The sequence below is a fragment of the Homo sapiens genome, chromosome 18 (assembly GCF_000001405.40).
Source record: "Homo sapiens chromosome 18, GRCh38.p14 Primary Assembly".
In the NCBI taxonomy this organism is placed as follows: domain Eukaryota; kingdom Metazoa; phylum Chordata; class Mammalia; order Primates; family Hominidae; genus Homo; species Homo sapiens.
In genome coordinates, this window is record NC_000018.10 from 79,508,640 (window position 1) to 79,534,843 (window position 26,204).

General features: G+C 55.2%; 1 protein-coding gene and 1 long non-coding RNA gene across 9 annotated transcripts in view, besides 3 other annotated features; one reads left to right on the forward strand and one right to left on the reverse strand.

Annotated features, from left to right (window-relative positions):
- The window catches only part of NFATC1 (nuclear factor of activated T cells 1), a 133,394-nt gene extending 112,710 nt beyond the window's left edge, over positions 1-20,684 (forward strand). For all 8 annotated transcript variants that reach the window (NM_001278669.2, NM_006162.5, NM_001278670.2 and 5 more), the window contains one exon: positions 18,889-20,684. In NM_001278669.2, coding sequence (NP_001265598.1) covers positions 18,889-18,938 — 50 coding nt within the window. In that variant the 3' untranslated portion in view covers positions 18,939-20,684. The remainder of the gene's footprint in view (positions 1-18,888) is intronic.
- Positions 598-687: an enhancer, noted in NCBI's record as "active region_13543". NCBI's record gives its function as "activates an Ori minimal core promoter by ATAC-STARR-seq in GM12878 lymphoblastoid cells {active_cell/tissue: GM12878}" and the evidence as "EXISTENCE:reporter gene assay evidence [ECO:0000049][PMID:35858748]".
- Positions 758-807: an enhancer, noted in NCBI's record as "active region_13544". NCBI's record gives its function as "activates an Ori minimal core promoter by ATAC-STARR-seq in GM12878 lymphoblastoid cells {active_cell/tissue: GM12878}" and the evidence as "EXISTENCE:reporter gene assay evidence [ECO:0000049][PMID:35858748]".
- Positions 10,682-14,877, reverse strand: LOC102723506 (uncharacterized). The gene is made up of 3 exons (XR_935689.3): positions 14,449-14,877; positions 14,004-14,222; positions 10,682-11,786 (listed from the first exon to the last, which is right to left on the reverse strand). It is a non-coding gene; the product is annotated as an uncharacterized LOC102723506 (long non-coding RNA).
- Positions 16,075-16,144: a silencer, noted in NCBI's record as "silent region_9576". NCBI's record gives its function as "represses an Ori minimal core promoter by ATAC-STARR-seq in GM12878 lymphoblastoid cells {active_cell/tissue: GM12878}" and the evidence as "EXISTENCE:reporter gene assay evidence [ECO:0000049][PMID:35858748]".

Here is a 26,204-nt window from a genome sequence, read left to right on the forward strand (position 1 = left end):
GGTCTGTCTCTTTCTCAGTCTGTCTCTCTGTCTCCCTTCCTCCCTGTCTCTGCCTCTTTGTCTCCCTCCGTCTCTGAATCTCTGTCCCTCTCTCCATCCATCTCTCTCCGTCTCCCTCCCTTCCTCGCTCTGTTTCTCTGTCCCTCTCTCCATCTCTCCGTCCATCTCTCTCTCTCTCCATCTCCCTCCGTGTGTCTCTGTCTCTCTTATCTCTCTCCCTCTGTCTCTGCCTCTCTGTCTCTCTCTCCGTCCCTCCCTCCCTCCCTTTCTCTCTCATGGCGGCCTTTTCTTTTGTTGCTGTGTTCACTGTGATGTCTGGTTCTTTTCAGCTCCTTTTCTCTGCTGGAGTGGACAGGGTTGTCGGTCTCCACTGCCGTGCCAGGTGTCTGTGCTTCTTGCAGTGTCCTGTACGGAGAAAGCGGAGAACTAGAGCATTGGAGAGACCCGCATGGAAGGAAACGCCATTGCTGGGCAGTGTTGCAGCCTCCGCAGAGGTGTGTGGGCTCCGGGGAGAGGGACGTGCTGGCCCCTGTGCAGTGGCGTGGCCCGTGTCCTTTCCCCGCCGTCCACTTCCTGTTCCCCTTTTCTGCACCTGTCTCTAGCTGCCTTCAAGGCGGAGCTTTGGCACCCACATATGCAGATGTCCACCGCGCCTGCCGGACGCCAGCTCTCCACCAGCCGGAACTCACCGCCACCCACCCTGGGCTGCCAGCTCAGCTGGGGCCCAGCCACTCCCCCAGGTCCCCCTTCACTGTAGGAGGAGCTGGGCCTGGGATGTGGACAGTGGGCGGCGAGGGGGTTGGCCATGCAGAGGGCGTGGGAGGAGAGGAGAGCACGCAGATGCCGGCCCGGTGATGTTTCCTCAGACGCCCGCGCAGTGCCATGCCGTGGGCCTCACATGCAATGCTCCCCTGCCTAGAGGGGCACCCCTGCTCCCAGGAGGGTCTCAAAGAGACCTGGGTTTCTTTTAAGCAGTTTTGACCACTTTGATTAGGTCAGTGATCTCCATTAGATCTGGACCTGCTAAAGTTACAGAAGGTTCTGGAAGGTGCCGGCACAGTCTGAGCTGAACACCCATGACACCTGAGCAGGAGGCTGTGACAACTGTCAGCTCACGGACCAGGGAGGGAACGCGAAGCTGGGGAGCTCTGAGCTCCAATCCCAGCTTCTGCTCCTGCTCAGAAAGCCCTCCCACTTTCTCTGGGCTGACCTCACCTCGGTGTTTGGAAATGGACCAAGACTTATCGGAAAGTGTCCTCGGCGCCAGGTACCACACTGAGCTCACAGGCTGCTTCCATTTAAAGTTAACCACTCTTGGTGCAGCCATAAAGCCTCGTTGATCTTTGGTCCTTTATTGTGAACAGACATCTCGAAAGAGCCTGTGTCTCCACGGTCAATCTTTCTTCTGAAGACATATTTTAAGGCTTCTTCAGAAACCAAATTTAGGAAAACAGAAGAAATTAGTGCTTAGTTTTCCAGATAACTCATAGCCCCCCCCAAGGAGGAAATTCAGACAGGACAGCGAGCAGGTTCCCGGGCCGTCACTTCAGGGTCACCTGATGGGAGCCGCAGCCGTGGTGAGGTTCGCTGGGTCATGCCCCCGTGCGGAAACTCAGGGATGGGACGGATTCCACTTTCAAAAGATGACATAGAATGAGTGAGTATTTAGGAATTACTTTAGGGCTAAAAAAAAACCACATATGGGGATCAGATCCCTGAGCCCTCAGAAAATCGGAGTAGGGAGAGGGAGAACAGTTGAAGCGAGAAGTTAAATAATTCACGTTTAAATCACAATTCCAGGTGAGATGAATGCGGCCCTACCTGATGGCACCTGCGTGGTTGCCACAGGCGTGGTGGAGGGCTCTTGCGTTTGGATTTGAGGGGCTTAGAGGTCAAAAAACTTTTCGGAGGAACAGGGATGGGCCTGTCTCTCTTTTATTTCAGCGGTCTTTTCTGTTTATGTGGGAAACGCAGTGTCATGAGGTTTGAAACCCTGAGGATGAGATGCATTCCCAGTTGCCAGGCTCGGTTTCCAAGTCTGCTGGGTTTGGGAGCGGTCGGTTGATAGAATTTCTTCTAGAAGACAGGGTGTGGGGGCACCCAGGTCCTTCCTGCGGAGGCGTCCCTGCCCTGTGTGGCCCTGGGCACAGACCCCGGCATCCCCTCCACGGGGCTCCTCTGCCGGGGCATCCTCTGCCGGGGCATCCTCTGCCGGGGCATCCTCTGCCGGGGCATCTTCCGCCGGGGCATCCTCCGCCGGGACATCCTCCACCGGGGGCTCCTCCGCCGGGGCATCCTGCTCCGGGGCATCGTTCGCCGGTCTTGTCGCTGCGGTGGAAGTGTCGTGTTCCCAGCCAGGCTGGGAGTGGTCGCTGGCGAGGCCTGGCGTGGGCCCGCGGTGTCTGTCAGGGTGCCCTGGGCCAGCCCCGCTGATTCGATTTAGAGCTAACGAGAGTCCACCAACGGCAATTACAGGAACCTAATGGCCTTCCTGCCGCACCGCTCCGTGGCACCCGGCTCGCTGTGATGAATTGCTCATTATGTGCAGTGTTGGAATAGCCTCCACAAGATTAATAATTGGATAATCAATACAGAAATTCAATCTTGGGGTGTTTTTTTCACTCCGGGGTCAATATGTCCTGAAGATTACAAGGCCCGACTCTGCCTCCCCCCTCCCCGCTGCTTCCGCGTTGGGAGTTTGGCCAGCACCTCGCCACACGATGGGTCATGGTGCGTTGTCTCCGTACCTCCGTGACTTTTCTATTCTTTGCAAACAGCAGGTTCTGCCGGGGGTCAGTGCTGCTAACACAGACAGCAGTGACTCCACGGTGGCTTCCGTTAAGCCAGGGGAGGGCGGCACAGGTAATGGCTGTGAGGGCACCAGGGCCATGGCACAGTGGCGGCCGTGGAGGGAAGCCTCGCCGTGCCCAGGATGTACGTAGCCTGAGCTGTGGAGGGGTGGAGGGCAGGTTCAAGAGGGGCTGTGCCTCCCGCCAGGACACGTCTGCGCCCCTGAGCTCCTGAGGCAGTCAGGGCCTGGATTTCCCTCCCAGAGGTGCTCCCCTGGCTGCAGCATGGGGAGCTGCCTGCGTGGTTTCGAGGCTCTCAGTGGGGGGCCAGCCGGTGAGGCACTGAGCTGGCCCGAGGAGAGCTGCTGAAGCTCAGGACGTGCAGTGGAGCTGGGAGATGTGGATGGACTTGCTGCGGGTCCGGGACCTGCCTAGGGAGTTGGCAGGATTCGGGGCTTCTGGGGGAGGCCAGGAACAGAGGGCGGCACGGGCCTGGGGAGAGCAGGAAGCTGTGTGCTGGCTCTCAGGAGCCCAGTGGATGGGACGCAGCTGAGACGTCCGCAGCCATCCCAGGATGCGCAGGTGGCGGGAGCACGCGGGGCACAGGAGCCTGTCCCGGCAATGGCTCCTTGTCTCCGGCCCAAGCGACCCCTGGCATGGCGGACAGAGAGGCCCAGGAGGAGCCGGCCTCAGGGAGGATGGCTTGAGGAGACAAGCCCCAGGACGCAGCCTGACCCCAGGACACGGCCTCGCCCCAGGACACGGCCTCACCCCAGGACACGGCCTCGCCCCAGGACACTGGCGAGTGTTTGGACTTTGTTGAAACTGCGCCACAGGCACTGCCCTGGGAGGTAAATAAACGGAAAAGCGTCTGACTGCAGCAAAATCCTGGCACCACCTGGCACTAGGACCTCTCCCACCACGTGGAGTTTAGACTAAGGCTTAGGGATTTTATGAGAACGGCAGCCACTCCGCCACACCCACACACCCCGAACTTTTGCTTTGCCTTGAATTTTTCTAGACAGCCTCCCAAGGAGGAGAAGCAACCCTGGCTAGGAACCGGAGCCGGAGCAGCATCTGTGGCTCCACGAGGTCAGAGCCTTGGCAGTTGTGCGGCTGTGGACTCACACATGTGGCAGGAGGAGATGCCTGCAGTCGGCGGGCCCCTTGTGCTTCCCGTTTGCTGAGCTGCGGTCTCTCCAGTCGGTGGGCCCCGTGTGCCTCCCCCGTTTGCTGAGCCGTGGTCTGTCCACCTGGATGCGGCACCTGTGCCCTCTGCTGCGCTCTGGGCTGTGGCTGCCGTTTGAACAGTGGAGCCTGCACACGTGAGCCACGTCTCATCCCACTCGAGCTCTCAGCCCCTGTATGTGTCAGGGAGGTCCTGAGGGCGCCTTCTCCACGTGCTGCGGGGAGGCGCGCTGACGGCCACCAAGTCCACTGGAAGAAATAGCCTTCCCGTGTGAATGTGGGGTGCTGCCTGCAGGGACGTCCTGACCGTAGGTCCGCACCCCACCCACACCAAATCGCCTTCCGTACCCACCTGGCTCATGTGCCTATAAGATGGGAGAGGGCCTGGCAGAGAATTTCGCTAGAGACGCAGGGAGTTGTATCTGCCATGTTTTTAAAGAGCGCTTTAAAAACGGTATCACTTTCGAACGCTCGGCTCTCAATAAAAAGGAGCACTGCCAGTATTTTAATTCCTCTCTCGATACCCAGAACCACCACCAGGCTGTGTCAACTCCCGTCGGCGTAGAGCAGCTGATGCCCGCGGGTGGACTCCGGGTTCAGGGCACTGGGACCGCTGCAGAGACGCCGTCCCCGGCCCCCACCTGTAGGGTCTGCAGGGAGATGACCTGCTTCCCGTGGCAGAGGGCACCTTGGCCTCCGCGGCCAGGGCGTGAGGCTCCCGGGTCAGCACACGGCTTTCTCAAGGACCAGGCTTGAGGATCTTTCCCTTTTCTGCTCTTCCACCCGCCTCCCACCCACCTTCCCAGATACCCGCGTCATCCCCCGAGGCTTCTGAGGACTCTGGGCTGTCCCCAAACCTCAAACAAAATGTCACTTTAAAAACTGGTACAAAAGCACCTCTTAAAGATTCAAACGATAATTCGAAAACATCGTGGTGGTGAGGGACACGTGCTTTCCCGCCGGCGGGGGCGTGGACGTCGTCTTTCGTGGGCAGCCCTAGAGAAGTACTCTTCAAGGCGAGTGTCCCTGGGGCATGGGGGCGGTTTCCCTTGCAGCTAGCTCCCGGTCTCCTCCCTCTGACCCAGGGCTCCCCAGACATTACTGGGGCTGCATCTGCCGGGGGTGTGTGGCCTGTGTGCTGCCGAGCTCCAGGTGACACCCACGGTGGTTCGTGGACACTCACCATGAGGGGAGGTGCGTGGCGTGGTGAAGCCTGAGGGTACACTGGCTGTGCCATGTGCATGCCCACGTCCAGGACGGGCCACTGTGGAGCCCATGGATCCTTTGTCTCCCTGTGTGCTAGCCTCTGTCCCTTCTCGGGGACGTGTCCCCACCTGAGCTGGCCGCTCACTGTGCTTCAGGCTCCTGTGAAGGCCGTGCTGATCTCCACGGTGAGCGTGGACGTGCGTGGGGCAGAGTGAGCGGAGTGGCAGGTTCCTCCAGGCGCTGCCCAGGTTCAGCTGTGAGCCGGTCCAGGTGTGGCCGCAGGGATTGGCGTTCCCATCTAGTTGTCATTGCTGAGATGTTTAAAAATCACACCCTCAGCCAGCACAGTGGCTCACACCTGTGATCCAAGCACTTTGGGAGGCCAAGGCAGGAGGATTGGTGAGCCAGGAGTTGGAGACCACCCTGGGGCAACATAGCAAGACCCCATCTCTACAAAAATTTTAGAAATTAGCCAGGTGTGGTGGTGCACACCTGTGGTCCCAGCTACTTGAGAGGCTGACGTGGGAAGATCACACGAGCCCAGGAGTTCCAGACCAGCTTGGGCAACATGGTGAAATCCCACCTCTACCAAAAATACAAAAATTAGCCAGGTGTGTTGGCGCTCAGGAGCTGCTCAGGAGGCAGAGGAGAAAGGATCGCATAAGCCTGGGAGATCAAGGCTGCAGTGAGCTGTGATCGAACCACTGCATCTCCAGCCAGTGACAGAATGAGACCCTGCCTCAAAAAAAAAAAAAAAAAAAAAAAAAAACCAATCTCACTCCCCACCCCCACCACCCTGGCATGCCTCCGAAGCAGGTGTCTTTTTTAAATGGCCGTTTTCTTACATAGCCACAGTGCAACTTTCACACCTAACAAAATGGCAGATTCTCTGGTAAGAGGAAGATTTAGTTGAAAGTCACATTTTAGTAAGGCAGGTTTGGGGCTGGGTACAGTGGCTCACACCTATAATCCTAGCATGTTGGGAGGCTGAGGCAAGAGGATCACTTGAGCCCAGGAGTTGGAGACCAGCCTGGGCAACATAGCAAGACCCTGTCTCTATACAATTTAAAAATTAGCCAGGCATGGTAGCATGCACCTGTGGTCCCACCTACTTGAGAGTCTGAGGAGGGAGTATTGCTTGAACCTGGGAGGTCGAGGCTGCAGTGAGCTGAGATCATTCCACTGCACACCAGCCTGGGCAACAGACAGAGCAAGACGCTGATTCTAAAAATAAAATGCAGGCCAGGCACAGTGGCTCACACCTGTAATCCCAGCACTTTGGGAGGCAACGGCGGGCAGATCACTGTAGCTCGGGAGTTTGAGACCAGCGTGGCCAACATGGCGAAACCCCATCTCTACTAAAAATACAAAAATTAGCTGGGTGTGGTGGCAGGTTCCTGTAATCCCAGCTACTCAGGAGGCTGAGGCAGGAGAATCGCTTGAACCTGGAAGGTTGCAGTGAGCAGAGATCGCGCCACTGCACTCCTGCCTGGGTGACAGAGCAAGACTCCATCTCAAAAAAAAAAAAAAAAAAAAGAAGGAAGGCAAGTTTCCCATCCCACAGGAGTGGTGGTCTCCAGCCACCTCCTTTGGGAGTCCCTGGCCCACAGGATACCTGCAGTGGTGGTGGTGGGCGGGTGGTGGTGGTGGATGGGGGCTCGGAGGGGGCTCGGCTCACACCCCTGCAGCCTGGCCGGGGACCAGGGGCGTATTGGCTTCTGAGTTGCCAATGGAGCTTTTGACCTCCTGCTGCTACACACTTCACATGGTGACATTCTATCCTGACCCTCTCTGCCACCCTACAAAGAAGGAGGCCGCCTGATCAGTGCCAGTTCACACCAAGTGCCCGTCTCCCCCTGGAACAGGCAGAGGAAGAATCGTGTTTCTGTAGCAGAGGGACAGGAGGAAGCGGGACCTACCGAGACCCAACCCGGTCACTCTCCTCGGGGTCCATTCACTTTATCTTTATTAAAAGGAGCTTTAACATTTTTATTTTTTAAATTCTGTTAATTCTGTTTGAAATGGAATTTCATAATTTGGGGGCATATACTTCCTAGTAGAACAAAGAAAGCCCTGGAAAACTGCAAGTGGTGGTTTAATGATCCCAGTGAGTGACTGGAATGGCAGTTTGGTGCAGATAAGACGGACTAGATCCGTGGAAACACGCGCCCGCATGCCGTCTCGGTGGGGGGCGGAAGGACAGCCTGTCGGAATCTCCCAGGCACGTGGTCCTGTACCCTGAACCCTGGCAGTTTCCACACGGCGTTTGCATTCTGTGCAACATTCAGGCTAAATAAGGAAGCAGGCAGTTAAGGTAGGAAAATTATTCTGTCTTAATGGCTGACGTCCCGAGTGGCGGTCCCGCTCCCCACCACCAGCTGCGTCCAGATGAGGGGCTTGTTTTATGAAAACTGTGACTTGTCAGGCCGTCCCTCCGTTGTCCCGTCCTCTCCTTCCAAAAATAGCAGGCCCTGTGGCGGTGGCTTATTGCGATGAAAAAGATAAAAATAAGTGAAGGCTGAAATAGGTCCTGGACTTGAGAACTTACTTTTTAATGAAACTTGAGAAGCTGTTATTTTCCACTGCTTTACAAAGCATCTTTGAAAAATGCAGAATCGTAAAGAAGGGTTCTAGAGACGCTGCGACCCTGCGTTTTCAGAATGTGGTGGCTCCTCGACTGTGGAGTGGCAGAACCGCCCTTGTTCTTACCCCGTTTCTCAGCCGAGCGCCGGGCGCCCAGCAGTGTCGGACAGTTTAGGGTGGACCGAGGAGGCCGTGGTGGAGGCTTCATGTAGGAGGTTATGGAAAATCCAGATATTTGCTTGTGAAGGAGGAAACATTTATGGTAGACTTTCTAAGAGGTTGCTTCTTCTCAAAAAATTAAAAAACCCACATGAGAGGCGGCCTCTTCAGTTACCTTGGCGCACACACCGAAGCCACCTCTGCATCAGACACGATATACGTACAGTGGAACAAAAGCGTTTTCCTCTTCGCTTCCTATTTTCTGATCTCTAATTTGTGGCTTTAACCATATTTTTATGTACTTAGCTCATATCTACTGTAATACCTTAAATGAGAGCCATACAAGTCTAAATGTGTATGTCAGATGGAAAAATTGAAAGCTGTGTATTCAGCAATTCAATGAAACCATAAAACAGTCAGTAAACACATCTATCATGCCCCTTTGTAATGAACGCCACAGCCATGAAAATCCATATGTTCATTAAGGTTTTCAACCACCATCAAATGGCGTTCTTACTCCAAGAATTATTAGATATTGTCAAAGCTGAGTACAGCAAATGTCATTGGGAGACATCTTAGAAGTTAGTTATTTAAGAATAGGATTTGGCCTGAGATATTTCTGGTTCTATCTGTGTCCTACCCAAATTATTACCCTCTTAGGTTACAAGACTAACTTTAGCTAAAGGTGTATTTTCTGGGAAGGTTAGCAAATACTTTTTATAATTATCTCTTAGTTATAGGAATGGAGGAGAATGTCTTTCCTGTTTTGTTTTGCTCTTTTTAAAAAGTTATTTTTGATGACTTGTCCTCTGAAGAATATGCACTTTTCTGTCCCTCAGAGGATGGTGGAGTAAGCTGGGGACAATTGCGTTCCTGCTGCAGGTTTAATTACGCTGTGTCCAGTGGGACGGTGGGCCTTAGAAGGGAGCCTGCTGGACGGAAAGTGAGGCGGATGGGGACGCTGCGACAGGAAGAGGCAATAGGAACATGCCCCCGTAGGCCGTGGGTGGCATCACGACGGCCTTTTTTGTTTCCTGTATTGCTTTAGTGTAAAGGAAAATGACAACTCTAAAGAAGGAGCAGTCCTGCAGGACGTTCTGATGTCTGATAATTCTGAGGCCTGTGTCCTTGCCAAACTGTCTGGTTTGTTTAGCGGTCATAGATAAATACTCTTAGACTTGAATAATCATAGCACAATTGGTTGTTGATTGGAACTAACATAACCATTGAAAAAGAGGGAAGATGCTTTTAAATGTGTTTTGTGCAATTAAGTTAGTGGTACCTATATGAACAAATATGCTTTTTAAAAATTGACACAAAAATCGTTTATGCAAGTTATAGTCTTCATCTGTGCTACTTAAACTTTTTAACTGCAAGGATTAAACAGTGTATTTGGGTTAGCGTGGCTGAACCACATTGTTTATTCTTTAAGCCCAAATCCAGTTCCTAAAAACAATTCTAGCGCTGCCTCTCCCGGCTCTTCACTGCACGCAGCCTGAGGGCGTCGTTGTCTGTGCTGCACCCTGGTGCTCAGTGGGTCTCCAGCTGGCACAGTCACCACCACTCCCAGATGGGCTCTGCCAGGGACAGGGATGGAGCAGACTGCATGGGCCTGGCGTGCAGGTGACCAGGTAGAGGCAGCTCAGCTGTGTCTGAACAGCTTTTCCCATCGCTTTCCCGGTCGACATTCATGGCAGCCGCTGCGTCCAATGACAGGCACAGTCAATTCTTTGAGACAGAAAGGGAAGGACAACACTAATGTCCCCATGAACCCCAGAAACATGAAGGAGGGGCACACGCCCACAGTAGAACATGTGGAAGCTGAGTGTGGCAGTGTAAAGGGCGATGGAGCCCCCGGGCCCAGCATGTTTCGCGCTGCCTGCTTGTGTTCTGATGGGCGGTAACTGAAGGTCCACCAGGAAGTGCCTGGCACCCCCCCTCTCGCTCGTGAAAGATGCAGATCAGAGCACCTGAGAGGGTGTCCTTGACAAGTGTTTTGTCACATCGTTCAGCCATATAGAAAACAGACTTGGAAAAATCTGAGATCCCCCAAGGAGCCACCGCTCATTGCCCAGGGCGTGGCCCACAGCAAGGCTGCTCCTGCCCCCGCTACTCACCGCAGTGTGAGGATGGGCTGACCTGACCGCCCAGTCCTGTCTTCAAAACGAGACTAAGGGTAGCACCCAGCTCCAAGGAGAGCTGTGCCGGGTGCTCTGGAGGGGTGTTAGGACCCCTGGCACCCGGTGTCCCTCAGTGGACGGCCGTTGATTCTGTAACAAGGCGGCCAGTGCCCACGGTGCAGGCAGGAGGCACCTTATCCCTGACTTGGGCTCCGATCCAGGAGGAAGTTGTTTCTCCGTGTGAGATGCTGAAGAGTCCGCCCATTCACAGAGCAGAACGGGGTCTCAGTCAAACCTCTTCCCACAGATTAGCCCCCAGGATGTGTCCTGAGCCCTGCAGGACTGGGCAGAAGGTGAGGATGGGCCCTTCCAGGCTCCCTTTTGCTAAACCTTGTTCTACCAGAGCGTTCAGGTGCAAAGACCTCGCCTCAGAAAGGCTTCAGAGCCTCCGGCGGCTGGCAGGCTGCTCACAGATCTCCGAACCATGGTTTGAACAAGGCAGCAGGAAAGTGGGAGAATTTTAGTCTGAGAAGATTTGGAAAATCCTTAGGAATTGCTGACTTCCAAGTTGTTTCACTACCATCTGAAAAACCCTTACAAGGCTCGGGCTTTCCTGGAAAACAGGAGATCAGGCTATTTATTTTTTATTTTTTTATTTTTTTTCCTGAGACAGGGTCTTGCTCTGTCACCCAGGCTGGAATGCAGTGGTACAATCTCAGCTCACTGCAGCCTCAACCTCCTGGGCTCAAGCCATCCTCCCACCTCAGCCTCCCAAGTAGCTGGGACCACAGGTGCACACCACCATGTCTGGCTAATTTTTACATTTGTTTGTAGAGATGGGGGGTGGTCTCACTACATTGCCCAGGCTGGTCTTGAACTTTTGGCCTCAAGTGATCCTCCCGCCTTGGCTTCCCAAAGTGCTGGGATTACAGGTGTGAGCCACCATGCCTGGTCTTAGGTCAGTTTTTAAAACAACAGCAAGATTTTTTTTATGTTGTTTCTGCCATGTTTTAGGAATTGCTTTTCCTCCCGGGGCTTGCATGTTTAAATTTTTATTCTCAGAACGTTGAAGGGACGCACTGCATTTCAGGATCCTGGGTCTCCGTCCGTGAAGGACTTTCCTTCTGTGGGTCTTTCCTCTTGCAGCTTAAAGTGGGATTATTTTCACTTTATTCAGAGGCCCTGTTAGTCACAGCCAAGCACAGACGTGCTCGCTGTCGCTCCTTTGCTGGAGTCGGAAGTAGGACAGTTGGTGATAAAGTCCTGGACGGGCGAGATAAGTGGCATTGGCAGAGCTCTGTTGTCCAGACAGCAAGAAACCGGCTGCCCCCAGGAAGCGGGGATGGAGGGCACACACCAGGAGAGGGGGCGTTTTGACCGTCGGCAGGGGTGCCACTTGGAAGTCAGATTTAAAATGGAATCAAAACTGGTAGAATGAGGGTCTGCAGGGGGAAACTTGACGGAGCCCATCAGGCGACAGCCTTCTCGAAGCCCCTCCGGGCCCCTCACGGGAGGGGATCCCCCGCTGCGCTGCCGGGAGGTCCGGACGAAATGTTGGAGCTGGAGAGTCGGCAGCCCTCGCGTGGCGTTGCTGCCTCTGCAGATGCCTCCGGAGGGACTCGGTGTGTCTCGGTGTTGATTTCAGAACAGGGGAGATGCTGACGTGTCCCGGTGGCTCTCACAGCACAGTGGAAGGCGAGTGGCAGCTCCGACATCCTGCTCCGCTGGCGCCTCTGGCCACCTGCCTCCCCCACCCCCACATAAAAAAAGTTTAAGGCACATTTAAGCTAGTACCGGAGAAATGACTGAAAAATAAGTATAGCCAAGCAGCAGAAGACTCTGTGTGTGGGGGGGGGAGGGTGCATCCACCACTAATGTGTGTCCGTGTGTGTGGGGGCATCCGCTGATGTGTGTGTCTGTGTGTGTGTGGGGGGGGCATCCACTGATGTGTGTGTCTGTGTGTCGGGGGGGGCATCCACTGATGTGTGTGTCTGTGTGTGGTTGGGGGGCATCCACTGATATGTGTGTGTGGGGGGGGGGCATCCACTGATGTGTGTGTCTGTGTGTGTAGGAGGGGAGCATCCACTGATGTGTGTGTGTGTGGGGGGGCATCCACTGATGTGTGTGTCTGTGTGTGGGGGGGGGCATCCACTGATGTGTGTGTCTGTGTATGTGTGGGGGGGGCATCCACTGGTGTGTGTGTCTGTGTGTGTGTAGGAGGGGAGCATCCACTGGTGTGTGTGTGGGAGGGAGCATCCACTGATGTGTGTGTCTGTGTGTGGGGGGGCATCCGCTGATGTGTGTGTCTGTGTGTGTGGGGGGGGGCATCCACTGATATGTGTGTCTGTGTATGGGGGTGGGAGCATCCACTGATGTGTGTCCATGTGTGTGTGGGGGCATCCGCTGATGTGTGTGTCTGTGTGTGTGTGGGGGGCGTCTGCTGATGTGTGTGTCTGTGTGTGTGTGTAGGGGGGGAGCATCCACTGATGTGTGTCCATGTGTGTGTGGGGGCATCAGCTGATATGTGTGTCTGTGTGTGGGGGGTGGAGCATCCACTGATGTGTGTCCATGTGTGTGTGGGGGCATCCGCTGATGTGTGTGTCTGTGTGTGTGGGGGGGGGCGTCTCCTGATGTGTGTGTCTGTGTGTGTGTGTGTAGGGGGGGAGCATCCACTGATGTGTGTGTGTGTGGGGAGCATCCACTGATGTGTGTGTCTGTGTGTGTGTGGGGGGCATCCACTGATGTGTGTGTCTGTGTGTGTGTGGGGAGCATCCACTGATGTGTATGTGTGTGTGTGGGGGGCATCCACTGATGTGTGTGTCTGTGTGTGTGTGGGGAGCATCCACTGATGTGTATGTGTGTGTGGGGGGGCATCCACTGATGTGTGTGTCTGTGTGTGTGGGGGGAGCATCCGCTGATGTGTATGTCTGTGTGTGTGGGGGGGGGGGCATCCGCTGATGTGTGTGTCTGTGTGTGTGGGGGGGGGGGCGTCTGCTGATGTGTGTGTGTGTGTGTGGGGAGCATCCACTGATGTGTGTGTCTGTGTGTGTGTGGGGTGCATCCACAGATGTGTGTGTCTGTGTGTGTGTGGGGAGCATCCACTGATGTGTATGTGTGTGGGGGGGGGCATCCCCTGATGTGTGTGTCTGTGTGTGTGGGGGGGGGGGCGTCTGCTGATGTGTGTGTCTGTGTGTGTGGGGGGGGCATCCACTGATGTGTATGTCTGTGTGTGTGGGGGCGTCTGCTGATGTGTGTGTTTTGTGTGTGGGAGGTTGTCTGCTGTGTGTGGGGAGGGGGCATCTGCTGATATGTGTGTCTGTGCATGTGTGGGGGGGCGTCTGCTGATGTGTGTGTTTTGTGTGTGGGGAGGGGGCGTCCACTGATGTGTGTGTCTGTTGGGGGGGGCCGTCTGCTGATGTGTGTTTTGTTTTGTGTATGGGGAGGGGGTGTCCACTGATGTTTGTGTCTGTGTGTGTGTGGGGGGGTATCTGCTGATGCGTTTTGTGTGTGTGGGGGGGGGTGTCCACTGATGTGTGTGTCTGGGTGTAGGGGGGGTGGCATCTGCTGATGTGTGTGTTTTGTGTGTAGAGGGGTGCGTCTACTGATGTCTGGGTGTAGGGGCTGGCGCCTGCTGATGTGTGTGTTTTGTGTGTGGTGGGGGGTGTCCACTGATGTTTGTGTCTCTGTGTGTGTGGGGGGGGGTGCGTCCACGGATTGTGTCTGGGTGGGGGGACGTCTGCTGGTGTGTGTGTTTTGTGTGTGTGTTGGGGGGGTGCGTCTACTGATGTCTGTGTGTGGAGGGTATCTGCTGATGTGTTTTGTGTGGGGGGGGTGCGTCCACTGATGTGTGTGTCTGTGGGGGGTGTCTGCTGATGTGTGTGTTTTGCTTGTGTTAAAAGGCGCACACCGCAGGAAAGGAAAGTGGCAGTAAACACCCCCGCCCCCAGCCTTCCCTCACCTCAGATACGCCAAGTTCCGGGCACTGAGCACCCTGCAGGTGAAACAGGGAGGACCAGAGAGGGAAGGGACGGGGGCCAGATTTGGAGGAGAGAGGACGGACTCCTGGGGCCAGGAGCTGGCTGGGCAGGGTGGGAACCCTCCTGTCCCAGGGTCTGAGTCGTCCCCCAGGCACCAGCCAGTAGGCCCATCCAGCTTTCCATGACTTTCCTAGTAAGTACTGAAAGAAAAAACACACATCTAACACTGTGGCTTGCCCAGCGGGGCCCCAGGCCGCCATCTGGGAGGATCTGGGGGCAGGTGGCTGTTCAGGGCCCAGCAGAGCCGGCTGAGCTCAGACCCCAGTAAGGGTCAGTCCTGCCCTGTCAGCTCTGGGGTCCCTGGCAGCCATTCCCACTCTCCGAGCCCTCCGTGGTCCCTGTGAACAGACTGGGTGACTACAGTACCTGCCTTTGCCGCTCCCGGGGCTGTTGCAAGGAGCAAGCAGGTGCACAAAGGGCCAGGCAGGGCTGCATAACTGCTGGGGAAATGGTAGTTTGTTCATTCCTTAAAATGTAAGATCCTTAATTGCTTTCAGAAACCGGGCATTCAGAAATGCAGAAAAATGTTGCTTCCAAGCCAGGCAGCAAGGGGGCAAAATATATCAAACAGCGTTCAGGCCCTGGCAGCTCCGTTCTGGCCCTCATCATTCCCAGCATAGAGAAACAAAACTCCTGCGTGAAACTTAAGAGGTGAACTTTGGGTAGCTCACTACAGGGTGAAGTTTAAATGTCAACTTTCTTTCAAAATGATGATCAAAAAGAAGAAACTGGTTATGTGAAGGTACGAATACTTGACTGAGAAAGGCGTCTCGCCTACGGCTTGTTTACGCACAGCTAGTGAGAGCTTGCGTGGCCCCAGCAAGGGCACAGATAAGATTCACAGGTGAGGCAGTGAAAGCCATGCCTGCCCTTGTACTTGGTAGTTTTTATATTTAAAAATGTACTGATTTCCTCCTTCACTCAATTCCAGATGTGTATAGAGAGGTGGGTATGAGTGTGGGTGTGTGGATGTGGCCTCGAGGGAGGCTCTCAGCCTGCAGCCAGGATTCAAAACGCCACAGTCGAGTTTTAGGAAAAAACAATAGTTTCCACCTGAGGAGTATTTTAGAGAAAAATCTAATATAAGGGAAAAAAAAGCCCTCCTTATTAAATTAAATTGTGGTATAACAGCTCACCACATCCTGTTGCGGGGACATCTGACGTTAGGCAAAGTAAGTTTCCTCTTTCAGGTCTCCCACACGCCGTGAGGGTCACATGCTACCTGCAATTCAAAATATGCTAGGAAGGGAAAAAACCCTTTGTGTCTGTGGAAAAGCTGAATAAGAAGATGGAAATTATCAGCAGAGAGAGCTGGTATGGGAAACCGTAGGTGTCATCGGCAACCATACCCTACCCAAGGAAGCCGCCCCCGGAATAGCAAGGGCAGGGCCGGGCAGCTGTGGCTGACCTCATGGGTCAGAAGTGCTCGTGGCGGGAAGGAGTTGGGGGGTGGGGGGGCGGTCCTGTCTTTCAGCCCAGCGCCAGCGAGCCACATGGCCTCAGACCAACCCCAGGATGGGCCCGTTGTCCACCTGTGAAAGGGGAAGCCGTGGCTTTCCTCTCAGGGCTACGGCACAGGCCGTGTCTGCGGGGCGAGCACGGCTCCACGTACGGCTCTCGTCCGCGGTGTGGATGGGTGGGCGGTACAGCCTCCTCTGCGGTTCGGTTGCTGTGCTGTCCTCTGCTGAGTGGTGTCAGGGTTGTCCATCCCGCTCTCTGTCAGCTGCTGCCATGGGGCAGCGGGAAGGCCCTGGAGGGTGCCTGGGCTGTGTCTGGTCCCGGCCACGCGTCCCTGCAGCGTCTGAGACCTTGTGGAACACACTTGACCCGGCGCTGGGACGGGGTCGGCCCACACGCACCGCCAGCCCGCAGGAGTGAGGTGCAGGCTGCCGCTGGCTCCTTAGGCCTCGACAGCTCTCTTGAGGTCGGCCCTCCTCCCCTCCCGAGAGCTCAGCAGCCGCAGACCCAGGCAGAGAGAGCAAAGGAGGCTGTGGTGGCCCCCGACGGGAACCTGGGTGGCCGGGGGACACACCGAGGAACTTTCCGCCCCCCGACGGGCTCTCCCACCGAGGCTCAGGTGCTCGTGGGCAGCAAGGGGAAGCCCCATGGCCATGCCGCTTCCCTTTCACCCTCAGCGACGCGCCCTCCTGTGCCCGCGGGGAACAAGACGGCTCTCGGCGGCCATGCAGGCGGCCTGTCCCACGAACACGATGGAGACCTCAGACGCCGTCCCCACCCTGTCACTGTCACCATCACCCATCCTGTCCCCTCACGCCTCCCCACATCCCATCATTACTACCCCTCAGGCCTCCCCACGTCCCACCGTCGTTACCCCTCAGTCCTCCCCACGTCCCACCGTCGTTACCCCTCAGGCCTCCCCACGTCCCACCGTCGTTACCCCTCAGTCCTCCCCACGTCCCACCGTCGTTACCCCTCAGTCCTCCCCACGTCCCACCGTCGTTACCCCTCAGTCCTCCCCACGTCCCACCGTCGTTACCCCTCAGTCCTCCCCACGTCCCACCGTCGTTACCCCTCAGTCCTCCCCACGTCCCACCGTCGTTACCTCTCAGTCCTCCCCACGTCCCACCGTCGTTACCCCTCAGTCCTCCCCACGTCCCACCGTCGTTACCCCTCAGGCCTCCCCACGTCCCACCGTCGTTACCCCTCAGTCCTCCCCACGTCCCACCGTCGTTACCTCTCAGTCCTCCCCACGTCCCACCGTCGTTACCCCTCAGTCCTCCCCACGTCCCACCGTTGTTACCCCTCAGGCCTCCCCACGTCCCACCGTCGTTACCCCTCAGTCCTCCCCACGTCCCACCGTCGTTACCTCTCAGGCCTCCCTCCTGTCCCTGTCGCTGTTACCCTTCAGGGTCCACTCATGGCTTCATTATTTCTTTGTAGTGTCCCCACCTTTCCCCTGTGTTGATCATTTAGGCCTCTTTCGTCCCCACAATCACTATTCTGACTGGAGTCCTTTCTTTTGGAGCTCCGCTGGCCAGGGTTGGATGAGGACCTGAGCCCAGTCTCTTCATGCATTGGGCAGCCTCCCTTCCCCCACAGGTGGGGCCTGTTCTGAGCTACCTGAACCCCCACCGTGTCTTCCTCCTGGGCAGGTGGCTCCTCCTGCCTCTTTGCAGACGTCTTTTGTAGCAAGGCTGAACCAGCGCAGTGGGAAAGGAGTTAACTGGTCTCGAATTCTGGGGCATCCCTGTCTCGTGCCACAGATGCCAAGCACAGCAGGGCACGGAGCTCCTGGGGGCCGCTGCACTCAGCAGCACAGTGGGCGGGAGGCCGCTGAGCAACCAGCAGCCTAGGGCATTTGGGTGGGGACGTGCGACCCCCACACAGAACAGAGCCGTCTTTCTCTCTGCGTTGTGCCGAGGCCCCGCAGCGCCGCCCGAGTGTCACGGAAAGTGCCTCTGGTGAGGAGCTGCCGTGCGCACTCTGGGACAAGTCAGGTCCTGCGTGCCAGTCCGGGAGCAGCCTGCGAGCACCTGGGCCCTGTCGTTATCCTCCTTAGTGTTTGTGAAGAGTCACACGGAGGGGCGGGAGCCCGGGCTCCTTCTGGTGCCTTCCACACTGGGGGCGGAGCCCTCTGCAGAGAGCCTGGCTCTGCGTCCTGTGGCTGAGTGCCAGGTCCCGTCTTGGGCAGGGCCCAGGATCAGCGTGGCTCTGAGCAGGGCCTGCGGGGAGCCCACGCGTGCCTGTGTCTTTACAGAGGCTGAGCTCCCACACGGGACAGAGTCGGGACCTTCTGTGGGCGCCATGTCAGGAGGTGCTGCTGGCGGGGCCGGGCATGTGGGGCACCTTTGCTTGCCTGGGTCTCTGGCCCCGCAGAGCCTTGGGCGAGCCAGCCTCGGGTGTGTGTTTGCAGCCAGGGTTCCTCCTGGAGCTCAGTGCCAGTGTGTCCTGTTATCAGTTCCCATGACACAATTCCTGGTTCTCCATCTGTGTTTTATTATTGTTATTCTTAAAAATAGTCGGGGGTTGTTGAAAGGGAATTTGGGGAAGGGAGTGGGGTGATGAAATGCACACTACTAATTGCTCCAGGAAGCCGCCCTGAGACAGGCCGGGGCCTTTGCAGAAACACGTGGGGCTTATCTGGGCTCTGGGCGCTCCAGCCCATGGCAGAGGGAAGCCCGGGCAGTTCCGTGACGTCAGCGCACGCCCCACCAGAACCTGGGAGGGAGATGGGACGTGGCGACAGTGCTGGTGGCACATCCCCTATCTCAGCGCCCATCAGGGCGGCCACAGCAGGAGGTGGGTGGGGCGGGGATGCATGCAGCTCACAAAGGCCCTAACAGTGCCGCTCGTTTCCTCTGCGTCTGCCAGAAGTCACAGGTGACGGGGAACGTCACTGGCCTGTGGGGGACTCAGGGACTCTGCCATCCAAAGGGAAATAAAAATCAGGAAGAGCCTGAGAGGGAGGCTCAGGCGACACTGGTGCTGACACCACAGAAGTGCTGGTGTGGACCTGTGGGTCGCTTGGTTCGTGGAGAGACAGCCACAGCATCTTCCCAGCATCGCGGCCGGCACCTGGCACCTGCACTTTGGCCGTCAGAGACGTGCTGGTACCGTGCTACGGACGAGGGCGGTCACTCTGGCGACCCCAGCTCTCTGCCGAGGCAGCCAGGCACTGGCTCACGACACTCATGGACCAGGGTGGGACCGAGGAGGAAATGTGGGTTCCTGGGGAGATGCCTTGTCACAGGCGTGAGCGTCACTGATGGAGAAGCAGGGCTGGGGGCGTTGCTTTGATGTTTATGGTATTTCTCTAATACTTTCTCAATTTTTCTTTTCTTACAGTAAATGAAATAATACGAAATGACCTCTCCAGCACGAGCACCCACTCCTAGTTGCCACATTGGAGCACTCAGTTCAGCAGGGGTATGCTGACTTCAGCAGACAAAGACTTTTGAATAAATAAACTGAACTCACACCTGGTACCACTCAGAACCTCCAACTGACTGAATGCCAGGAGCTGAACATTAATATGTGCAAAGATTGGCTCTCCAACAAGAAGGAAAGCAGGGAGGAAGGGAGACCACTGTGTCACCTGGAGGAGAAGTCATCTCATGACAACAGAAGGGAGGTGGCCGGGCTGAGCACGGGAGACCCACCGTGCAGGGGCCTTTCATGGGAACGGCCCACACGCAGTTTGACCCCACGCCCAGCCCTTCTGGCACCCCTGGGGTTCAATACTGGAAGTGCCTTATTTAACCAGACCATCAGGGCATCATAGAATTGAGCATTGAATTTGCTACTGTAGGAGTATTTTTAGGAGCAGAAACTGCAAACACATTTCATTGTGAGGTTTTACCCTCTGTATGAATGAAGAGAACGCTGGAAGGCTGCGAGAGGACTCTAGTATGAGTCTCCAACATTTGGAACGTTTCCTGGGCTGTCACGTACACTCCTGCTGCCTTACACAGTGCATTTTAGAATCTTCCAGTCTGTCATCTCAGCTCTTTTGTAACATGCTTCCCTTGTCTGCGCGGTTGAAACCGTAGGCTTGTTCATAGTCGCATGCTCGCATCTTTGTTTTTAATCTGGCTTCGAACATAGCACAAGTAACTTGAATAGCACATCAATAGGTTACTGGACAAAAGCAGAAAAACCTGTTACAGGATAGCCTGCATTTGCATGTGTGTACATATCTAGGCATCTATTTATGTATAAATAATAACAGAGCCGACGTGTCCTCGCCCAGGAGGGCTTCCCTGTCAGCAATAACCGGCATCCGTTTTGGAACCTGCGTCTGGGGCTCCAGTCGCTGCTCTTGCTGGCGTCCATCGCCGCCTCGGACGGCCGTGCATTTTCTCGTCTCACGCAGTTCGAGGAGGACCCTAGAAAGCCAGGAGCTGTGATTGACAGTAGCTGTAGGTTACCAGACGGCAACATTAGAAAGTGATTGTAAATAACATGCAACCTAAGTGTAATATATTTGTTCAGTTATAAGATGATTGTTTCACAGAAGCCTTACCACTCTCTGCTTCATCTAAGAAAACCAATACCAAAAACGCCACTTTAATGCTCAGCCCTGCGTTGTGTGTTTTCAGATGAGTTACTGTTAACAGGTAGGTTTGTGTAGGCCTTGCTGGGCACTCTGTACAATTAGTTGCTTATTACGTATGATTACTCACAGCGATCTATTGTTCCATATAACCAAAAAGCATGGTTTATTCATTGAAACACGGTTGACCTGAACTCGTGCCTTAGGAATTAATGCCCCCTTATGGAACCTGCCTGAATTGCACCTGCGGGTGGAGGCTCCGGCTGTGAAGTCACTGAACAGAACGTCGCTGATGGAGAAAGGGCTCCCGCAGAAGGAACGGCCTGTACCGTGCGCTCCGGCACAATCGCGTCTCTTGTGTCTCACTCACGGAAAGAAACAACCTGAAGGCCATCCCGTCGGTCTGCACGTAACCGTGAAGACGTGTGGCCGCGTCCCACCTGCGGCTGGGTACCCTGCACCCGGCACTGTAGGAGTCACGTGCAGCCTTTCTCAGGGGACTGTCATTGAAAAGGAAACGTTTGATGTCTGTGTCAGCTGTCTTTGTAGTTAGGAAATAGATCCAATAAAGCCGTATTTTTTTGCTGGACAGGCGTAGTCTGCGAGTGGTTCATGATACGCGTGGAAGATGCCGCTTTGTTCTCAGAGTGTGTTTTCAGTGGCGTGTACTTGGATCGTCTGTGAAATGAACCTCGTGTTGGGAAGGCTGTGTAGACGCGGCCATTCGCCGTTGGAAGGGCATCTTGCCAGTAGAGCTGTTCCCTTTCTTCTATGTTTAGGTAAAAACCTGCCGTAGAAATTTGCGAGACGCCGGATAGTTCCCAGGCCCTGTAACTGAAGCAGCTCAGAAATGTTCATCCGGGCGAGGTGGAGAAGGAACTCCTGCTAGTGCCAAATGTTTTTGCTCAGAGGAATATCCTGGGTGAGGCTCTGGCCACACACACAGTCACACGCCATTTGACAATCATCTGGCGAGGAAACGTGTGGAAACCCACAGGTTCTCACCGTCTCTCCCCGCTTCTTAAAGCTGCTCTTCCCCTTTTCCCCACCAAAGCTCCCTACTTCACGTTTGGGTGGGAAAATATTACCTGGCCATGAGTTAAAATATGAAACTTGGAACTTCTACAGTAATTATTGTTCTCATCTTTCAGGAACATTTTTCATTTAGGACTTTATAAAATGCAAGAATTCTGATTTCTTTTGCTCAGAGGTGTACAGATTGAGTTAAAGGACTAGGGAAGTCATCACCACCTAAAGCGATTAGTAAGCATCTATCCCCCAGTTTTCTGCGTTTGACAATATCTGAAGTGAGCCTGAGAACGTCGTCGAAGGTCCCGCGTGGGGTGGCGTGAGGAGAGCACAGAGGCCGGCGTTTGGGGGAGCTGGGAGGAGACCTCACAGGCATCAGGAGCCCTCGGCTCTCCGAGTAGGGGAGGTCCCGCGTGGGGTGGCGTGAGGAGAGCACAGAGGCCACTGTTCTGGGGGGAGCCCTCAGCTCTCAGCAAGTAGGGGAGAGCTGGTTAAGCCCTTGCTTTTCTCCAACTGGCCCCAGTCGGGGCCTAACAGAGCCTTGGACTGTTCAACCCGGAGGCGGCCAGCACGCGCCCTTCGCTTCCCTCTGCCGAAGCGGGCGGAGCTGTCCACCCAGAATGCACTGGAAGCTCTTTCTTGGTTTCAAAGTGACTTTGTGAAACCTCCTTGGTTGTCCTCAACCCCAGTAACAGAATATTCCAAAATTATGAATGTATACAGTGATGGTTTCTGCAGAAGAGGTTGAGCTTCTGCGAATAACCCTCTTAGTGTTTGTGCCTTTTAGGTTGATTTTGAGTAATTAGAAAAATGCACCCACAGGCTGATTTCCAGCCAGAGGTTCTGCCTGTCGGGGGGAAAAGCTGTTGGGCAGTTACGTGTGCCACCCTCGTGTACACCAGAACCAAGACTGCGTTTTCCTGGAAAGCTAAGAGAGAGGTCAGCTTCGGGAGGCAGTGGAACTACCTTCCTGGTCTTTGCTGGCCTCTAGCACGCGGTCCTCGGTGACCGAAATCCTGGGGGAACCTTAGGGATGGGGCGTTTTCTGAGACTCAGCCAGAGGCAAAGCAGCCGCATCTGCGCGTAAGATCACGTTTGCTTTGCTCCTGAGCAGAGACTGGGTGGCACAAAAGTAATATGAGTATCAAGTTTCCCCTCAGAGCCAAGTGGAGCCCAGGAAAGACCCAAGTGCTTGAGCTTCCGGCCCTGGCAAGGGCATCTCGTTATATGGACAGCCTGGGGCCCCTTGCCCCAGCATTCCCCTCCCCACCCGGGACGCACCCTGGCCCCGCTTCTAGAGAAGGACCCAAAAAATCAGCTGTTTCCGCCAGTTCCGCCACGTTCCCCACATGGCGTCCTGACCAGTGACATCACCGGAGGCTGTCTCGTCTCAACGTGAATATTTTTAAAAATACGTCCCGTGTTGAAATTAACAAGCTACACCTGAGTGAGTGTTTGGAGCGCGCTCAGGGTGCGCTGACGCCGAGATAAAATAACCTCTTTAAGAGAAGCCCCGGACCAGCTTTGTGGGTTTTTTAACATTGTAAATTCACCTAAGATTAAAGCAACCGCTTTAAAACGTGTGGTTCTGTGGTGTACGTTCACAAGGTTGTGTGGCCGCCATCTTTATGTCCACGATATTTTTGCCACACCCGGAGAAACCCCCGTGGCCTTGGGAGCTGCTCCCCGTCTCCTCCCTGGGACCTCGGGTTCACACATCTCTGGGTGTGCCTGTCCGGGCATTTCATGCCAACGGAATCATGAACGTGGGGCCCTCTGCGGCTGGCGTCTTCCCCGTAGTGTTTCTGAAGGTCATGTGTTTCCCAAGGTCATCCATGTGGTCACGTGGGTCAGTATTTCCTCCCTTTTTATGACCAAGTCACGTTCCCCAGCTGATGGGGACCCCACGTCGTGCTGGTCCTTTGTCAGCTGGCGGACACGGTGGCTCCCACCTCCTGGCCATTGTCAGCCGCGCTGCTGTGAACGTTGGTGTTCTGAATTTTGTTCAGGTCCCTGTTTTCAATTCTTTGGGGCATATTCCCTGGGAGTAGAACTCCTGGGTATTACGGTCATTGTACGTTTAACTTTTTGAGGAACTGTTTTCTCCTCCTCAGTTTTTAAATTACCCATCCCTAAGACAGATCCTGGCTCACTAACCTAATTTGGAATCACATATGTGAAGCACATCATATTTATAATTATTTATGCCAAAAAAATTAAGTTAGGTAGAAGATGACTAAACGTTCATTTATACCAAAGCAGAAAGCAGACCCCCCAGCTGACCCCGCCTGCAGCCCTCCGGCCAACCCCTACCCTGTGCCCGCCTGCAGCCCCTCAATGCCTGCCCCTAGCTTCCCCAGCAGACCCCTCCGGTGTCCGCCTGCAGTCCCCGTGGCTGTCCCCTGTGCCTGCGTGCAGCACCCCTCGGCAGACCCTCCTGTCTCCGCCTGCAGCCCCCCGCCCCCCGGCAGACCCTCCTGTCTCCGCCTGCAGTCCCCCGCCCCTCGGCAGACCCTCCTGTCTCCGCCTGCAGCCCCCCGCCCCCCGGCAGACCCTCCTGTCTCCGCCTGCAGCCCCCCGCCCCCCGGCAGACCCTCCTGTCTCCGCCTGCAGCCCCCTCCAGCAGACCCCCCCGCCTTGGGTTTCCGCCAGGACCTAAATGCAGTGTCTGAGTTGCCGCGACAGTGCCCACAGAGCCCCAGATGACACGCGTTCATTTTACTTCACATATAAATTAGAGAAAAGAGTCTTGGTGAGGACGTCGGTGCTGAGACGAAATCGCGCCAGTGAACGTGTTTCATGAGGAAAGCAGCTTCTGCCGACATCTATGCAGCGATTTTCCTGCTGACCCTAGAACTCAGCATCCCGACCTTTCTATAAACACAGCTGCAGAGCCACTTGGCCTTTTCCAGATTGTGTCGTCAGAAAGCGACTACTATCTCCATGTGGCTGTTCTCTCTGGGATCGACGAGTTTTTCAGCACGGGGGACTTGGGTCCCATCTTCCCAGCAGGACAGAGCGGAGTGGCTCCTTCCTCAGAGTGCGGCCGGAGGGCGGATGCGCTGCCGCTGCTGTGAATAGTTTAATTCAAAGAGCACTTTTGTGTCCAGCAGGCATTGCCCTTTTCCCAAAAAGGAGGGAAATGTTCACGAACATCTATTCTGGGGCAGCCTGAGTCCCATCCGGACGACGGGGAGCTGGGGGTGATCTGGGTCCCATCTGGATGGGGAGGAGCTGGGGGTGATCTGGGTCCCATCCAGACAGGGGGAGATGGGTGATTCAGGCCCACAGCACTCAGCCTCTCATGGGCCATTTCCCCTCCTTGCCATGCCCACTTTTCCGACCTGGGCATTAGGTGCACGGTCTGGGCTCCCACTGCACCCCCTACGGCTTTTCCCAGCCGAGAATCTGCAGAGGTGCATTTTCCAAACTGCATGTTTGTTTCTGAGTGGTCTGCTGGCTCCACAGACCCCTGGTAGTGTGTATGTTGCCTTACGGGGTCCCTGGGTAGCACAAACACCACGCCACTCTCACGCTGCCCAGCACAGATGTGGGGACAGGTCCTACCCAGAGGCAAAGCAGGCCCCCAGTGGCACCATTGGAACGCTGTCCGTGCGGCGTGGCTGTGGGCTCTCAGCAGACACCTCACCCTCTCTGCGGTGGGGGTGTCTGTGCCTTCTTGGGTGTGGTTCTCATGGGAGACAGCTGCGCGCTGAGCCCTTCCCGCAGACAGCATGATACACTCACTCACTGGGTTTGGGGTTAGCACTGTTTTCCTGGCAGGGGGTCCTGCCTACCCACGGATCTCAGCCTCCAGGATGGGACTGTGGCGAAGGAGGCACCCCTTCAATTCTCCAGATGAGGAAATTGAGGCTGGAAAGGGGAGTGTTTCCCTGAAGGTCGGGGGTGGCAGATCTTGCCTCACAGCTGTGTGAGTGGCACTGGGCATCAGCTGAGGGAGGGAGCCCACCTTGGCATCCCCAGAAGGGGGGTTGTTGAGAGCCCCGGAGCTGGGTGGGCACTTGGTCTCTGCAGACGTCTCACAGGCACCTCCGGATCTCAGCACCTCCAGGTCCCAGCACCTCCAGATCTCAGCACCTCCGGATCCCAGCACCCCTGGGCCCCAGCACCCCCGGATCCCAGGACCTCCGGGTCCCAGCACCTCCGGGTCCCAGCACCTCCAGGTTCCAACCACCCATGTGTCTCTCCACACATTCCAATTTGCCCACAATTCTCAGGGCTCAGATTCACAGCAATCCTAAAACTGTTAGCAAATTCTCTGAGATGCTGTTTCCATGGAAGGCCACTATAAGCGGGTTCTATTCCAACCGATAAACGATTAGTAATTTTTTAATGTCCAGTAAAAAAGAGGGTTGAGTTGAAATACTCCTTAATTAATGGAACAGTATAATTAGTGGCCTAACTTTAAATGATAGCTTTCTGGAGCTCCTTTGGGGATTTAGTTTCAGCCTGTGAATAGGAGAGTTACAAGACAGAGTGAACTCAGGAATCCTTTTTGAGAATTGCCTCTCACGCTCTAATGTCTAAGCAGGTCTAAGTCACGCTGGAACCTTCTTCCCAAATCCTTCTCTTCCCTTCACAGCCTCCTAAATCTCTTCCTCCCTTTCTTCCCTGCTCTTATCACTCTCCTGGCCTTTAAAATCTAAACTGACAGTAGGTGCAGGAAAACAATGAGAGTGGAAAAACCGATCAAGTCAGGGATGGAGACCCCCGTTCCCTTCGCCGCGTTGCCCGACAGTCGCCACCCCACACCCGAGGGGTCGGTGAGCAGCACGGCCCCTTCCTCTAACGTGTCTGTCTGGTTCCGGCTCCAGAGTAACGCCAGCCTCAGAATGAGGTGGGAAGTGCCTCCTCTTGGCTTCTGGAAGAGTCTGTGTAAAACTGGTGTGGTGGAGTTCATGAAGTCATTTGGGCCTGAAGTTTTCTCTGCAGGAAGATTGCTAGTTACTAATTCCTCTAATAGATACAGTGTTCATTGTGTTTTGACGTTTATGTCTTCGGTAGTCGATGTCCTTTAGAATGTGTTTATGTCCTTGGTAGTCGATGTCCTTTAGAATGT